This window comes from Homo sapiens, chromosome 17 (genome assembly GCF_000001405.40).
Source record: "Homo sapiens chromosome 17, GRCh38.p14 Primary Assembly".
Taxonomy (NCBI): domain Eukaryota; kingdom Metazoa; phylum Chordata; class Mammalia; order Primates; family Hominidae; genus Homo; species Homo sapiens.
The window spans coordinates 20,898,438-20,915,428 of record NC_000017.11 but is presented as its reverse complement, the minus strand read 5'-3'; the positions used below and the strand labels follow the sequence as shown (position 1 = coordinate 20,915,428).

At 41.4% G+C, this 16,991-nt stretch overlaps 1 long non-coding RNA gene and 1 pseudogene across 2 annotated transcripts in view, besides 4 other annotated features; one reads left to right on the top strand and one right to left on the bottom strand.

The window, feature by feature from the left end:
- CCDC144NL-AS1 (CCDC144NL antisense RNA 1) overlaps positions 1 to 16,991 on the bottom strand; it is a 61,515-nt gene that overhangs the window by 14,613 nt on the left and 29,911 nt on the right. Inside the window, exon 3 of one of the 2 annotated variants that reach the window (NR_104185.2) lies at positions 10,203 to 13,211. The exons of the other annotated variant lie outside the window; for it this stretch is intronic. This is a non-coding gene — a long non-coding RNA (CCDC144NL antisense RNA 1). Of the gene's footprint in view, positions 1 to 10,202; positions 13,212 to 16,991 lie in introns of those variants that run through there. 2 annotated transcript variants of the gene reach the window in all.
- Positions 6,672 to 6,871: a silencer, noted in NCBI's record as "silent region_8310". NCBI's record gives its function as "represses an Ori minimal core promoter by ATAC-STARR-seq in GM12878 lymphoblastoid cells {active_cell/tissue: GM12878}" and the evidence as "EXISTENCE:reporter gene assay evidence [ECO:0000049][PMID:35858748]".
- Positions 6,852 to 7,447: an enhancer, noted in NCBI's record as "H3K27ac-H3K4me1 hESC enhancer chr17:20811295-20811890 (GRCh37/hg19 assembly coordinates)". NCBI's record gives its function as "activates a minimal SCP1, AML or CMV promoter by ChIP-STARR-seq in naive H9 embryonic stem cells {active_cell/tissue: H9 hESC(naive)}" and the evidence as "EXISTENCE:reporter gene assay evidence [ECO:0000049][PMID:30033119]".
- Positions 6,982 to 7,031: an enhancer, noted in NCBI's record as "active region_11873". NCBI's record gives its function as "activates an Ori minimal core promoter by ATAC-STARR-seq in GM12878 lymphoblastoid cells {active_cell/tissue: GM12878}" and the evidence as "EXISTENCE:reporter gene assay evidence [ECO:0000049][PMID:35858748]".
- On the top strand, positions 12,652 to 13,474 carry RNASEH1P1 (ribonuclease H1 pseudogene 1; annotated as a pseudogene).
- Positions 15,565 to 16,432: an enhancer, noted in NCBI's record as "H3K27ac hESC enhancer chr17:20802310-20803177 (GRCh37/hg19 assembly coordinates)". NCBI's record gives its function as "activates a minimal SCP1, AML or CMV promoter by ChIP-STARR-seq in naive H9 embryonic stem cells {active_cell/tissue: H9 hESC(naive)}" and the evidence as "EXISTENCE:reporter gene assay evidence [ECO:0000049][PMID:30033119]".

Here is a 16,991-nt window from a genome sequence, read left to right as displayed (position 1 = left end):
AATCCTGTCTCAAAAAAAAAAAAAAAAAAAAAAAAAAACCAAGAAATTTAACATTGTTGGCTGGGTGAGGTGGCTCATGCCTGTAATCCCAGCACTTTGGGAGGCCAAGGCGGGCGGATCACGAGGTCAGGAGTTTGAGACCAGCCTGGCCAACGTAGTGAAACCCCGTCTCTACTAAAAATACAAAAATTAGCTGGGCATGGTGGCGTGTGCCTGTAATCCTGGCTACTCGGGAGGCTGAGGCAGGAGAATCATTTGAACCTGGGAGGCAGAGGTTGCAGTAAGCCGAGATCATGCCATTGCACTCCAGTTCTGGGCCACAGAGCAAGACTGTCTCAGAAAAAAAAAAGAAGAAGAAGAAGAAATTTGACTTTGTTTTGCTTAACTGTCTCAATCAGATAATGTAACATAGAAATTCTGTATAAATTACTTTATACTTCGAAACAACATTCTTCCTGTAATAATTTTAACCAATTTAGTAACAATGTTTTTCCATTCAAGTGAAAATAATGCAAAACAAAGGAGAACAGAAACCTGGCCAAGTTTCAATCGACGCAGATAGGCATGTTTATTCAAAATGAAATATTTTTCTTTGTGCAGATTATGTTTCAATGCATCCATTCATCAATATGTAAGATAGTCATTTTGCTTTCTGCCAATCCTATGCTTACTGTCAATTTCTCAGCTTCATTTATAACTACTCCAAAACAAATTCACCTTTAAAATACATTATGGATATAAGCCTGATTATTCTCATCGTGCCAGAGATTCTAAAACTGGTAGTAACAATTTTGAAGATCATCACTGGTGGAAACAAATATCTGCTCTTTTTTTTTTCGAAAGAGTCACATTTTTTTTTTTTTGAGACGGAGTCTTGCTCTGTCGCCCAGGCTGGAGTGCAGTGGCACAATCTCGGCTCACTGCAAGCTCCACCTCCCGGGTTCACGCCATTCTCCTGCCCCAGCCTCCCGAGTTGCTGGGACTACAGATGCCTGCCACCACGCCCGGCTAATTTTTTGTATTTTAGTAGAGACGGGGTTTCACCGTGTTAGCCAGGATGGTCTCCATGTCCTGACCTCGTGATCTGCCCTCCTCGGCCTCCCAAAGTGCTGGGATTACAGGCGTGAGCCACCGCGCCCGGCCAAGAGTCACATTTTTATCATGAAGTCTGTAATGTCACTGACTCGGTTCATTGCTGGGCTCCAAGGGTCACTCATTGTATGAGCTTGGGCAAGTTCTAATCTCTCTGAGCCTCATCTTTAAAATGGGGGAAATATTAATATCTCATGAGATTCTTGTGAGTTTTAAATAAGCCAATACATTTAACATACTGAGAATGTGGCCGGCATGTAATAAAACTTCCATAACTATGATTATTTTGTTAATAAAAGACTTTTGCCATCTCTCCTTCCACTCACAAATTGCCTAATTTTTATTCTTTTCAATGCTATTTTTACATACTTTACAAAAATATATATATTTATTGGTTTTACATGTGATCTTGGGTCTCCACAGATTCTAGTTTTTAAAATTTATCCTAAGAATAAAAGCACTTTAGAGCTCAATTATAGGAATGTATATTATCTGTATCTCTCAGGTTAGGCTTGGAATGGATACATTTTTCATGTTAAATAATTATAACCAAATGCGTATTTTCAACTCTCTTGAGAGAATAAGCTGTGGTTCCCAAGGGATGGCATTGTAAAGCAGAATTGGACTGATAAATTTGTCAATGAAATGTAAACTATTACATTTTATTCAAGAAGTTTTAAAAAAGTACAAGATGATACATATTACTTTTACTTATTCAACAATAATTTTAAAAATTTAGAGTGGGGTTGGGCCAGTGGCTCACGCCTGTAATCCCAGCACTTTGGGAAGCTGAGTCGGGTGGATCCCTTGAGGTCAGGAGTTCGAGACCAGTCTGGCCAACATGGGTGAGACCCCATGTTGTGGTAGCGCACACCTGCAGTCACAGGTACTTGGGAAGCCGAGGCACGAGAATTGCTTGAGCCCAGGAGCCGGAGGTTGCAGTGAGCAGAGATTGTGCCACTGCACTCCAGCCTAGGCGACACAGAGCGAGACTCCGTCTCAATAAATAAATAAATAAAAATAAAAATTTAGATTAGGGTACAGAGGGCCGCAGAGGCATATCGAGAGATTCAGCTGCAGGAGATATATGGATGACCTTGAGGAAATAACCAGAAAGAAGCAAAAATTTTAAAGATAATTTTAAAAATTCTACGTATACATATATGTGTATTTTCAAATGAAATCATGTTTATTGCAGCAACTTGGATGGAACTGGAGGCCGTTACCTTAAATGAAACAACTCAGACACAGAAAGACAAACACCCCAAATTCTCTTAAGTGGGAGCTAAATAATGTGTACACATGGACGTAGAGTGTGAAAACATGGAGACTTGGAAGGGTTGGGGGTGCAAGATGCAAAATTACTAATGGGTACAATGCATGTTATTCCAGTGATGGATATTCAAAAAGCCCGGGCTTCACCCCATGCAGCAAAATATCCATGTAACAAAATTACAATTGTGCCCCATAACTTTATACAAAATTTAGAAAAACCAAATGTGTATAATATATATTTTCTCAGACAAAACTAAAAGTGGAACTAGGCCGGTCGCAGTGGCTCACGCCTAGAATCCCAGCACTTTGGGAGGTCGAGGCAGGCGGCTCACCTGAGGTCAGGAGTTCAAGACCAGCCTGGCTAACGTGGTGAAACCTCGTCTCTACTAAAATACAAAAATTAGCCGGGCATGGTGGCATGCGCCTGTAATCCCAGCTACTTGGGAGGATGAGGCAGGAGAATCCCTTGAACCCGGGAGGCAGAGGTTAGTGAGCTGAGTTCGTGCCAGTGCTCTCCAGCCTGGGCGACAGAAAGAGACTCCGTCTCCAAAAAAAAAAAAAAAAAAAAAAAAAAAAAAGTGGAACTATTGATTGTATGGAAACAAATGGTTTATTAGTTTTATAAATAACACTAGAAAAATTATCAGTATAAAGACATTTGTTGAAATCAGGTTAATGAAATAATGGTTTTATAACTCTTAACTTTATGTGGTACTCATTGTTATTAAAATATTTTTTCTTTTGCAGATTCTTTTTCTCCAGTACTTTCCCCCTAATTTAACATTTTGTGTTTTCCCGAATTCTCATTGCTGGCTTCCAAATGCTACCAGACTGGTGGGCCATGTTGCGGGTTGCCATTCTCTGCTTCACGGCCTGGAAACAGTTTCCAGGGAGTAAACTGGTAATATTTTCACACTTAGCTTTCTTATTTCCTTTATGTCATAGATCACAGTCCTGCACAGTCCTATTTTACAATGTTTATGAAAACTGTTTTCATGTAATTTTCTAGTTTTCTAGATTATAAGGTGTGAAGTAAATCTGTTTACTATTACTCCAGTTTATTCTGAAGTGAAAGAATGTATGTAATTCACTTTTTGTGTCATAATAATTGTAGCTGGATATTAATTTTTCAAGTAATTTCAGAATTTTGTTTTTAGTAATTGGTTTGTATAGCCTGTTTACAATTATTATGGTTACTGAAATGTTATGTTGCTATTTTGTGACTTTTCTTTAGTTTTGTTTACTATGATTTCTATTAAATTGCTTTTCCCCAATTCTGTTCTTTTTCAATTAAATATTTTATTTGCTTATTTTTTGAATTCTATTTCTGTCATTTTTTATACTTACATATTTCCTTTCTACATTTTTAGAATGTTTGTAAATTTTTGGCGTGCATAAATACTTTAACAAAACCTAACGTTAATAAATATCTTTTCCCCAATATGTGGTAAAACCAAATATTTCTTTGAATCTGCCTTACTACTTTTGTTTAAAATTTTAGGTCCAATTTGTATTGAATTGTTTTAAGAGCCAATATTCTCTTAGATATATTAATACATTTACTAGTATTAACTAATTACTTCGTTTTGCATTCCAGATCTTTCCTGAGATGAATTTCCTTCCTACCATAATTTCTCCTTTGATGTTTCTGTTAGTAGTGTTTTACTATTGATAAATTCATCAGACATTTATTGGATCTTTTTATTTCTTTATTTTTATTTTTAGACAAGGTCTTGCTCTGCCACCCAGGCTGCCATGCAGTGGTGAGATCACAACTCACTGCAGCCTCAAACTTCTGGGTTCAAGTGATCCTCCCACCTTAGCCTCCTGAGTAGCTGGAACCACAGGTGCCACCATGCCTGGCTAATTTTTTGGTAGAGATAGGGTCCAGCCTTGTTGCCTAGGTTTGTCTCCAACCCTGAGCTCAAGTGATCCACCTGCCTCAGCCTCCCAAAATGCTGGGATTATAGGAGTGAGCCACCATGCCTGGCCTCGATCTTTTTTTTATCATTTATTTACTTTAATATAATTTCCTGTTTTCCATCTATTTCTCTGTGCTCATTATGAAGTAATTTGTGTATTTTTTCCATTTTAGGTATATCTTCAGATTTATATCATTTACTTTTCTGTTACATCACCTATTACTCTTTCTCATAGTCCTAATAATTGACAACTTTTTTCTAGTCTATTTTTATATTATACTGCTCATTTACCATTATTTTTTATCTCTCCATTTGCTCTTTACTTGAAAATGATTTTTTAAAATATCTTTTGGATTGTTCTACTGCTTTAACTAGAGTTGCTAATGTGAACAATAGGTCTCTGAAAAGGAATTTGGAGAAAAGAAATTTTATTTCAGTGAACAGTTTGCAAACCAGGGAGACTATGTTTTGATGTGGTTGGTGTTATATATCTGTGCTATTTTCTTTTTCTTTTTTTTTTTTTTTTTTGAGATGGAGTCTTGCTCTTTCGCCCAGGCTGGACTGCAGTGGCGCTATCTTGGCTCACTGCAAGCTCCGCCTCCCGGGTTCATGCCATTCTCCTGCCTCAACCTCCGGAGTAGCTGGGACTACAGGTGCCCGCTACCAAGCCCGGCTAATTTTTTTTTTTGTATTTTTAGTAGAGACGGGGTTTCACCGCACTAGCCAGGATGGTCTCGACCTCCTGACCTCGTGATCCACCCGCCTCGGCCTCCCAAAGTGCTGGGATTACAGGCGTGAGCCACCGCGCCCGGCCATCTGTGCTATTTTCATATGATTAGAGCAGAAAGGGGTCTCATTTTATATTATTCTGTCATCATCGTTACAGTGTATTGTTCTCTCTCTCTAGCCTCATGCTTTTCCTAGTACATTGTCTCTGATATCTTTAAAATTTATTTAATTTAAAACATTTATTCTGAATACTGCACATTTTAGGAATATTTTTAAAAGTTTATTTAAAAATAAATCAAATGTGGAAATATTAACAAAAAGGCAATATTTCTATGCCGTTGCTATATATTAGGTTGAAATGATCTGCTGAAATAATGGTGGTTATCTGTTGACTAAAGTTTATCTGACATTCCCTAACCTATATGATAGTAGGTTAAAATTTCAACTAATATAATGTAAAGCAAACAGAAATCCAAAATTTGAATGCAGGGGCTGTCATCCTTGACGAATTGGAATATATGGTAAAGTGTACTTTGGTAATTAGATAACCAAGAGTTGAAGAATAATACTTAAACATGGAGAAACTGTCCTCCTCATGTATGTAATTGTTTGGGTTAGGGTCATCGGGAGACAAAAGATAAAAGCATAAGGAAGAGATATGGCGTGCATTTATACACACTAGTTTTTACTTTTTTGGCATTAGAAATTGCTGATATAGTTTTACAATTTTTACAGAAAAATATACTAGTAGAAAACAAAATAACCAGAAAAACATAACACAGTCACTAAAAAATGTTTATATTACTTTAATAATTTTAAATATATTTAAATCTCATATATTTAAATATTTTATGTTTCTTGTAGTACTGAAGTTTCATAGGCAAACCCGTCATCTATATGTTTTTTGTAATCTAGGGAAGATTATGCACTTCATGCCCCCTGAGAGTCAGATGTTATGAAAATTCTGTGAATTCCGAGAATGGATCTATTTCGGACTGGTAAAATTTCCTTTTCTGCTTTAGTTTCTCAGCTTGCCCCCACTTTTTAGTTAAGAACTAGTACTTGTTGGTTGCCTTTTAAAAAATAATGTATTTCCTCACAGGCCAACTTCCATCCATATTTAATGTACAGTCACCTGTATTGGATGAGTAATCTTTAAAAGATTAATAAAGTTGGCATATTGAGACTACGAATGAAAACGGAGAGCAAGGAGCTCAAGTAGCCTGTGAGATTTAAACACAGGACTGATTTTGACCCCGAAGGTAGAGGACAAGTGTACCTGCTGCACCCTGTATCTGCAAAAATGCAACCCAAACTCCTGCCACGTAGGAGACATGAGGAAAACTGGTAACCCTTAAAATAATTGTGCAATTAATCACTGCAAGAACTAGTTGGGACATGCATATTAATACCGAGCGAGGTCATCATGATTAATATTGTGACAATAAATACCTGAGGAAATCAATAATGATCAGCGATTGTTTTAAAGGGCTGCAACATAATTAAAACATTTTACCCTGAAATGCGAGCGCTTTTAGGGGACATGCCACATAAAATTTTCCTGGCGAGCGACCGCGAGCAGCAGCAGGAGGGCCTGGCAGGGCCACTCGCCTGGTAGGGACACTTCCCTGGCAGTGGCCTGGGCTCTAGCGCTGAGAGGGAGGCGCCTGCATTGAGGAGGCCTCTGCGCGGGGTCATCAATGATGTCACAGCGCGGGGGAGCGCAGCGCGCCTGCGCGTGGGGGGGGGCCTTGCTCCCTGGGCTCTTCCCGCCACCCGGGCTAACCCCTGCGACACCCTGCGCTGCGCTGGGGCTCAGGGGCCAGTGCTTTCCAGATCCCCTGCTCGGCAGCCGCTGTCCGCGCCGCATTCTGTGAGAAGCTTCCTTTCCAGGTCGTTTCTCTGGGCTCAGGTCCTGCGCCGCCTCGTGGCTCCCTGGCCTGTTCAAGCGCACCCTCCGGCTCCAGCCGCTGCGGGCTGGAGGCTCCTTTTATGTTTTTATTTTTAAAAACCAACATATTTTTTGTTACACAGATACAAAAAATACATAGTTATATGCCCTGATCAAGCCAGAGACAAGTCTGGAAAACAAGTAAAACAGGCATGCGTAATTTTTGTTTTTTTGAGACAAGGTCTTGCTTTGTTGCCCAGGCTGGAGTGCAGAGGCATGATCTCGGTTCACTGCAACCTCCGTCTCCTGGGTTCAAGCGATTCTCGTGTCTCAGCCTCCCGAGTAGGTGGGATTACAGGCATTCAACACCATGCCCAGCTAATTTTTGTATTTTTAGTGGAGACGGGGTTTCACCATGTTGGCCAGACTGGTCACTAACTCCTGACCTCGTGATCTGCCGGCCCCGGCCTCCCAAAGTGCTGGGATTACAGACGTGAGCCACCGCGCAGGCCCATCCCTAATTTTTCAGATCACACTGGAGATAAGCAGCCTTCTTTCCCACACCGTGAGGGCTGGCGGCTCCCCTGCAAAGAGGGCGTGCCGCGTTCCCTAGGAACGGGCAACCCCAGTTCAGAGGCAGCGCTCTGCGACCCAAGGCCGGCTTAAACAAATACTCTCCCAGCACTTTGGGAGGCCGAGGTGGGCGGACCACCTGAGATCAGGAGTTGGAGACCAGCCTGGCTAACATGGTGAAACCCCGTCTCTACTAAAAATACAAAAATTAGCCTGGCGTGGTGACAGGCTCCTGTAACCCCAGCTACTCGGGAGGCTGAGGCAGGAGAATTGCTTGACCCCGGGAGGCGGAGGTTGCAGTGAGCCGAGATTGCACCACTGCACTCCAGCCTGGGCAACAGAGCAAGACTGCGTCTCAAAACAAAAACAAAACAAAACAAAACAAAAAGCCCATACGCACCAGATATGCAAAATTAAAATGTTCACGTCAAATATGTGTGTTTCATATGAATTGATCTTAGCACATCGTAATTATCTATTTTGGAAATTTCAGTTGCTGCATGTGGGTAGCTCACATTGGCTGTCTTAATCCGTCAATTCAATATCACATCACAATGCAAGATACCCACCGTTGTCTTCTCTTTCTCCTTGGTTATGTGACTGATACATTCCTACAGGTTCTGTGTATCGTCCTAACATTACGGTACCATAACATTAACCCATATTTAATGAACACATCTAAACTCAAACCAATAATTTACCATTGTAGTAAAATATACAACAGAAATGATGAGATGGCTTTCCCAGGGAAAAGCGCCGCGTGCACAATCATTCTCTAGGCGACTTCATATTTCTCTAGTCCAATTCTCTGGGAACAATGAGTGCTCTTTCTTCACTCTTCCTCTAGTACCTGCTTTTCACATGCAAAGGTATAGACCCTAGTGGGAAATAATGCCTAAGACCACCAACCCCTTGATGGTTTGCTCACAATACTATAAATGAAAATGTTTCCAAATAATATTAACATCCATCTTTGTCTATCACCATTGCATCAATGTTTGTGTTATCCTATAAAATTTAGAAGGCCTAGAAGGATGTTTTTGCTTTTTGCAATATAAAAATGGTCTAACACAGATATAGATGATATAGATATGGATAGGTAGGGGGTGTATTTTGAAATTTGTTTCTCTAAGGGACTTATTTCACTTCAAATTTGAAATTATTCTGGTTTTAAATGTAACAAATGATAAACCTGATAGAATGACAACACAATTGTATATGTTATAAAGGCACAGGGTATATCAAATGATGAACCAATCATTTCGTGTTGAGGTTAGTAATTTTTTTTTTTTTCCTGAGACCTCAATTCTCGGTAAATGAGGACAGCTTTTACACAGAGGGGCCTTAACACCACCACACACTGGACTTGTTCTCGGGCTGTGAGGTTCTGCCCACACCAAGCCAGGATGAGAATTTTATTCTTCACACTGTTCTCAGTACTTGTTTATATCCCCCCAAAAGTTCATTTTTTATGCTGTTTGTTCTCTCACATTTAATACACGTAACAAAAAGTTATCATGGTTTTTAAAATAAAAAAGTATGTTATCTTTTAATCCATGTCCCTATAGAATTATCTTGATCCATGTACTTTTGTTGTTACAGGCAGATCAGGCTAAACTTCCTCTCTCTGGAATAAATGCCATGACCACTGCTCTTTGAGCATTATTTTTCTTAAATTATTTTTTAAACAAAAATTAATCTAACTTACATTAACCAAATTTGTTTTCAAAGTAATCACATTTCTTTTAAGTGAAAAATGTTTACCTTCTGTTATAAAGAATTTTCTGAATACAAAATTTTTTTTTAAACTTTAGAAGAAATTGAAAATATCTACATATTACTAATCTAAAAATACAGGCTCTGGGTTTATATGGTGTTAACATGTCTTCCAAATTTTAAGGAATAAGTATTTAAATGCCATGCGCTTTGTTTTCCAATTTAGAAAATGTTCCAACCTTTTGGCTGGGCATGGTGGCTCATGCCTATAATCCCAGCACTTTGGGAGGCCGAGGTGGGAGGATCACTTAAGTCCAGGCATTCGAGACCAGCCTGGGCAACATGGTGAGCCCCATCTCTACAAAAAATTACAAAAATTGGCCAGGCATGGTGGCACTACCTGTAGTCCCAGTTACTTAAGAGGCTGAGATGGGAGGATTGCTGGAGACAGAAAAACTGAGGCTGCAGAAGGTAAAGTGTTGAGGCTAACAGATGGTAAAGATTTAATTTTTCACTTGAAAGAAATATCGGTTACACTGAAATTTGGTTAATGTAAGATAGATAAATTTCTGTTAAAAAAAATTTAAGTGAGTCTTGTTAACACCACTGCACTCCAGCCTGGGCAACAGAGCAAAACCTGAAGAAAGAGAGAGAGAGAGAGAGAGAGAGAGAGAGAGAGAGAGAGAGAAAGAGAGAAAGAGAGTGAGAGAAATAAAGAAAAAGGAAGGAAGGAACGAGGGAAGGAAGAAAGGGAGGGAGGGAGCGGAGGGAGGGAGAGAGAGAAAGAAGGAAGAAAAAAGGAAGGAAATAAAACAAAAAAGAAAATGCTTCAAGCTTTACAGTAGCAAAGCCACTCTGTAATGAACAAACAACAGAACCAAAACAAAAAAGGATTCTACCGACCAATCTAACCAATACAATTATGAAGTTGATTCAAATATCAAAAATCAATTTTTATAATAACTATATGGTATGAAAACCCCACAAAGATCAAGTAGGATGTATTATACTTGAATGAATTTATTAGTTGAGAGTAGGAAATCTATAAATTTAATCAAACAAGTCTAAGAATTATGAGGAAATTGTACTGCTAATGTATTATTTGACAAGCTATTCAGTGGAACAAAGATATTCTTAATGAAGTTGCATATGTATTTTAAAATGTTATCGAGGTAGATTTTTTAAAATGAGATGAATAACTTGAAAAAGTATTCAGGGATAAAGAGAAAAATAAATTTAGATAGTTTACATATATAAAATATATTTTAAAAGCTAGGCTTGTCTTTATTCCTTAAATAAAAGGAATGGATATTCAAATCCCATGCCTTTCATTTTAAAATTTAGGAAATGCTTATAGCTTCCCACACTGAAATCTATACTAACACAGCTAATCTAATCAAAGGATAACAAAATCAAAACAAATGGAAATCTCTTGACCAATCTATTTTCTTGATTTTTGAAAGTCTAAATGTATACTCAAAGAAAGAAAACTATTAATAATTGATTCTGTTATTTGAAAACATTTATTGATCATTTACCTTACACTAAGTGATCTCCAGCTCATGGAGACAGATCAGTGGAAAAGTATATAAAGTTACCCAGGTTTGTTAAGCTTAAATTCTAATGAGGGAGAAAAGAAGTAATAGCGCAGGTACTTTAAAACAGGAGCGTTGGCCGGGCACGGTGGCTCACGCCTGTAATCCCAGCACTTTTGAGAGGCTGAAGCAGGTGGATCACCTGAAGTTGGGAGTTCGAGACCAGTCTGGCCAACATGGAGAAACCCCGTCTCTTCTAAAAATACAAAAAATTAGCCGGGTGTGGTGGCGCATGCCTATAATCCAGCCACTCGGGAGGCTGAGGCAGAATTGCTTGAACCTGGGATGCGGAGGTTGCGGTGAGCCCAGATTGCGCCACTGCACTCCAGCCTGGGTAACAAGAACCAAACGCCGTCTCAAAAAAAAAAGTGTTATGATGCGGCTTGGAATTCTAAAAAATTGCATACTGTGGTTGCTGTGTAGAGACTGGAATGAAAAAAAGGGCAATGATAAAAGCTTAAATTCATATAGAATATGGCTAGCCTATAATTTTGAGGGTGCCTGAAATAAGAATTTATAATAGTTCTCATTATTTCCTCCAAGAAATGTCTGCAGTAGAGCCCTGACCGTGTGAGGGAAGTAGTGTAGTTACCAAGTGGTGAGGGTGGGAAGGTGAATTTGAAAACACCATTTGGAATTACTGCACTTTAAAGGCAAAGCTGGCAGGTTTTCCATACACAACAGATCTGAAAGTGTGTGTGTGTGTGTGTGTGTGTGTGTGTGTGTGATGGAGAGATAGAGAATGAGAACCAGACAGATACAGAGAGAACTAAAAGGGGATATCAAGAATATTGAGCTGAGAAACTATAAAATGGGAGTTGCCATTAAACAGATAGGGGAAGGGCAAGTCTGGGGAGTATTGGAGGCTCCATGTGGAACTTCATTTTGAAATTCTTGGCTGACACCCAAGTGAAGAAGTCAGACGGTGCTGGGTGTAGTCTAGTGTTGAGGTATAATATGAAATATCAGGAAATTAATGACACAAAAATTAGTAAGAAAGTAAATAAAAGAAAGATAAGTCCAGGTCCTGAGCCTAGTGCTTCTCTAACATTTAAAAAGTAGTAAAGGTGAGAAAAAAACAGCAAAAAAGGACTAGGGGTAATTATCAAAAATGTCGGGGGGAAAGTGGGTTAAGTGTTCTGGAATTCTATCAAAGAAAGTTTTGCAAAAAGGAGAGATCACCTGTGTCAAATGCTGCTGATACATAAATTAAGACAAAGGCTGAGGAATTATGCTTTAATTCATAATTTAACAATATCGTTTGTGCTTTGAGAAGAGCAATTTTGTTGGAGTGAGTAGGTGAGAAACCATATTGGAGTCCTTACTAAAAGGAATGTCTGACCTCTGGATTCTCTGTTTTTTTTGTTTGTTTGTTTGTTTTTTTGAGAGTCTTGCTCTGTCACACAGGCTGGAGTGCAGCGGCTCGATCTCAGCTCACTGCAACCTCTGCCTCCTGAGTTCAAGCAATTCTCCAGCCTCCTGCTTCTACTCACAGAAGCAGAGAGTAGAATGGAGGTTACCGGGGGTGGGAGGCAGGGGTTTGGGGAGACGGTGAAATCATTCAAAAGTGTAGTTAGACAGGAGGAATAAGTTTAAGAGATACATTGCACAACATGGTAACTGCAGTTAATGTATCGTATTCTTGAAAATCAAGAAGGGTTCTCACCACAAAAAGTAAGTATGCATATGTTCCTGAGCGCAATGCAATCATTCCACCATCTACCTATTTCTAAAAAGGTTTTACACAACATATATACAATTTTGTCATTTAAAAAACGAATGAATTGTAAAAAGAATTAAGTACTGGAAAATTTGTCACAGTTTAGGACAACTCTCTTTGTAAAATTAGTGGTTCCTTGGGAGTCGAAATGCTTCCTGGTGCCGGGAGTGAGCGATGAGCCGGCTTCTGTTCCTGGCCGCAGAGTCGCCTTGGCCGCCTTGCCCTGCCGCTGCTCTCACGGGTTCGGGATGTTCTATGCCGTGAGGAGGGGCGGCAAGACCGGGGTCTTTCTGACCGGGAATGAGTGCAAAGCACAGGTGGACCGGTTTCCTGCTGCCAGATTTAAGAAGTTTGCCACAGAGGATGAGACCTGGGACTTTGTCAGGAAATCTGCAAGCCCGGAAGTTTCAGAAGGGCAGGAAAATCAACATGGACAAGAATCAGAGACGAAAGCCAGCAAGCGACTCCGTGAGCCACTGGATGGAGATGGAGATGAAAGCGCAGAGCCATATGCAAGCACATGAAGCCGAGGGTGAAGCCGGCGCCTCCAGTTAGCAGAGACACGTTTTCCTACATGGGAGACTTCGTCGTCGTCTACGCTGATGGCTGCTGCTCCAGTAATGGGCGTAGAAGGCCACGAGCAGGAATCCGCGTTTACTGGGGGCCGGGCTATCCTTTAAATGTAGGCATTAGACTTCCTGGGTGGCAGACAAACCAAAGAGCGGAAATTCATGCAGCCTACAAGGCCATTGAACAAGCAAAGACTCAAAACATCAATAAACTGGTTCTGTATACAGACAGTATGTTTACGATAAATGGTGTAACTGGGTTCAAGGTTGGAAGAAAAATGGATGGAAGACAAGTGCAGGGAAAGAGGTGATCAACAAAGAGGACTTCGTGGCACTGGAGAGGCTGACCCAGGGGATGGACATTCAGTGGGCGAGTATCTTAAATGTTCATGTCCCATGGCTATTATGACCAAATAAGCTAAGTTTACTAGAAATTAATGGTTTATGTAAGTGGTTTAATGACATAACAATTTCCATGAAGTAAATATAATGTATATTAAAACATATTTGAGGCTGGGCGCAGTGGCTCATGCCTGTAGTCCCAGCACTTTGGGAGGCTGAGGTGGGTGGATCACGGGGTCAGGAGTTCAAGACCAGCCTGGACAGTATGGTGAAACCCCATCTCTATTAAAGAGTACAAAAATTGGCCAGGCATGGTGGTGTGCGCCTGTGGTCCCAGCTACTCGGGAAGCTGAGGCAGGAGAATCACTTGACCTGGGAGGCTGAAGTTGCAGTGAGCTGAGATCACGCCACTGCACTCCAGCCTGAGCAATGATATGAGACTCCAAGACTCCATCTCAAAAAAAAAAAAAAAATTTGAGACTCGGCTCAGTGGTTCACATCTGTAACCCAGCAATTTAGGAGGCCCAAATGAGGTGACTACTTTAGCTGAGAAGTTTGAGACCAGCCTGGATAACATGGTGAGACTCTGTTTCTAGAAAAAAATAAAAAATTAGCCAGGTGTAGTGGTGCATGCCTGTAGTCTAGTTACTCAGGACACTGAGGTGGGAGGATGACTTGAGCTGGGGAGGTCGAGGTTGCAGTGAGCCAAGAGTACCACTGCACTCTAGCCTGGGCGACAGAGTGAGACCCTGTCACAAAAAAACAAAACAAACCCACCCATGTACATGCATTTGATTCTTTTCCTTATCATACAAGTAATACATTTTTTTGGTTTGGTTTGGTTTGGTTTTTGAGACAGGTCTTACTCTGTCATCCCAGGCTATGGCGTGATCTCATTGCAACCTCTGCCTTCTGGGTTCAAGTGATTCTCGTGCCTCAGCCTCCCAAGTATCTGGGATTGCGGGCATATGCCACCACACCTGGCTGGTTTTTGTGTTTTTGGTAGCGATGGGGTTTTGTCATGTTACCCAGGCTGGTCTTGAACTCTTGACCTCAAACAATCCACCTGCCTCAGCCTCTCAAAGTGCTGGAATTACATTTGTTTTATGTCATTTATTTCTTTTCCATGCCTTTTGCACTAGCTAGAACTTCCAACACCGTTTTTTGTTGTTGTTTTTGGTTTTGAGAGTCTTGCTCTGTCACCCAGACTGGAGTGCAATGGCGTGGTCTCGGTTCACTGCAACCTCCGCCTCCTGGGTTCAAGTGATTCTCCTGCCTCAGCCTCCTGAGTAACTGGGATTACAGATACCTGCTACCACGCTTGGCTAATTTTTTTTGTACTTTTAGTAGAAACGGAGTTTCAACATGTTTGCCAGGCCGGTCTTGAACTCCTGACCTCAGGTGATCCACCTCCCTCGGCCTCCCAAAGTGCTGGGATTACAGTCCAGTACAGTTTTAAATAGGACAAATGACAAAGGGAATCCTTGCCTTGTTCCTGATTTTACGGGGGGAGTGGGAGTGTTTTCTGTCATTGGTTCTGTTTTTTGTTTTTATTTTTACTTATTTATTTTGAGACGGAGTTTCATTCTTATTGCCCAGGCCGGAGTGGAATGGTGCCGTCTCAGCTCACTGCAACCTCCGCCTCCTTTGTTTAAGCGATTCTGGTGCCTCAGCCTCCCAAGTAGCTGGAATTACAGGCGCCCACCACCACATCTGGCTATTTTTTTTTGTATTTTTAGTAGAGAGAAGGTTTCATCATGTTGCTCCTGCTGGTCTCGAACTCCTGACCTCAGATAATCCACCTGCCTCGGCCTCCCAAAGTGCTGGGATTATGGGCATGAGCCACCGAGCCCGGCTGTTTTTTTTTTGTTTTTTGAGACAGAGTTTTGCTTTGCTGCCCAGGCTGGAGTGCCAGTGGCGCGATTTCAGCTTACTCAGGGGTGAGCCACCACACCTGGCCTGTGATTGGCTCTGTTCTTAGTAATTATGTGCAAACCATCTAGTACCATCTCTGGGCAATGGTGTTGCAATTTCCCTCCCTCCATGCTGGGGCCATACCAGCCCCTCTCCAATGGGAGCCCAAGTTGCCAATGACTGTGGCCAAACTCTCCATTTTTCTCTGTATCCTGCTCTTTAGGTTAAAAAGAAGGAAAGAAACATGAAAGGCCATGTGCAATTTATTTCTATAACTCAAGGAGTTTCCCTGACTACCATTTTTTTTTTGCCAGTGGGTGTGCATACAGAAGAGAAATGCTATGTCCTATCCCTAGAAGTACACATGGTGGTCAGGCATGGTGGCTTATGCCTGTAATCCCAGCACTTTGGGAGGCTGAGATGGGAGGATTGCTTGAGCCCAGGAGTTCGGGACCAGCCTGGGCAACATGGCAAGACCTCTGACTCCACAAAAAAAAAAATTTATTTTTTTTTTTGAGAGAGCGTCTCACTCCGTCGCCCAGGCTGGAGTGGTATAATCTTGGCTCACTGCAACCTCTGCCTCTGTCACACACACACAAAGAAATACAGGCGGTGTTTCAGGGAAGGGAAGGTTCTGCTGGGGTCCTGGAATTGTGACTGATGGCCTCAGGGATGCAGGAATAGGCCTTCTAGCACAGCAGCTAGTAGCCTCCCCCAAGCCATCCGCTGGCGTGTGGAGGTGCAGGACCTGGGGGAGGCAGTCCTCACCCCAGCTAGGCCAAGAGGTAGGGTTTTTAGGTCTGTTTTTAACAGAACTCAGAGCACCAGGTGAAGGTGGAAAGTTGGTAAACTGGGAAAACAAGGTCAGCATCTTACATTTTCTATACTCAGCAGAGTGTGCCATTCCCAGTTTCTGTCCTGAGGCTTTCAGAGGCCACAACAGCCACGTTTCTTTCCATCTTCCCTCAGTCAGTATGTAGTCATTTAAAATTCTTTGGTTGTTCTGAAGATCCTTTTTTTATGTATAATTTTTACATGAAAGACAGCTGCAAAATGCAAGCCTCAGTAGAGTGGGGGAGTTTTTCAAGATGAGAAGTCGCTGTTCTCTGCACTGAAAAGGGATTGAATTTTCCTTCTCTGATGGTAGCCCATCCCCCTCCCCCCCGCCCCCCGCAGGGATAACATTCTCAGGAATTTCTCTTGTCCTAGCCCCTTTCACTTCAAAAACAATATTAGTCTGTTTTCCTTTTTCATTCATTTGTTTTTTTACAGCTTTTGTAGAGACCAACCCAAGTAGATGCCAGTCGGTATTAAACAAAAACACACATACCCAGGGGACAAGCCCTCCAGCGGTGAGGAATCTCTGCCATGTTCTCTTCCCTGCTGCCCACGAACATTACGGGGACTCCCTTAGTCTCCCCCTCCTCTTCCCCACTGAGGGGCGGCTTGTGGAGATGGAGGACTCGGGCCCATAGATGCAGACCCACTGTCAAATCCAGCAATAGTTCTCATTCTTCCAAAGCTCGAGTGCCATTTTGAGATGTCCTACCAATGACATGCAGTAAAGGACAACCTCACAGCCTTTTTAGAAGCATTTTGAGTCTCTACAGTTGCCTCAATTCACGGGGCATTTCATTCCTCTGATCCAGGTTA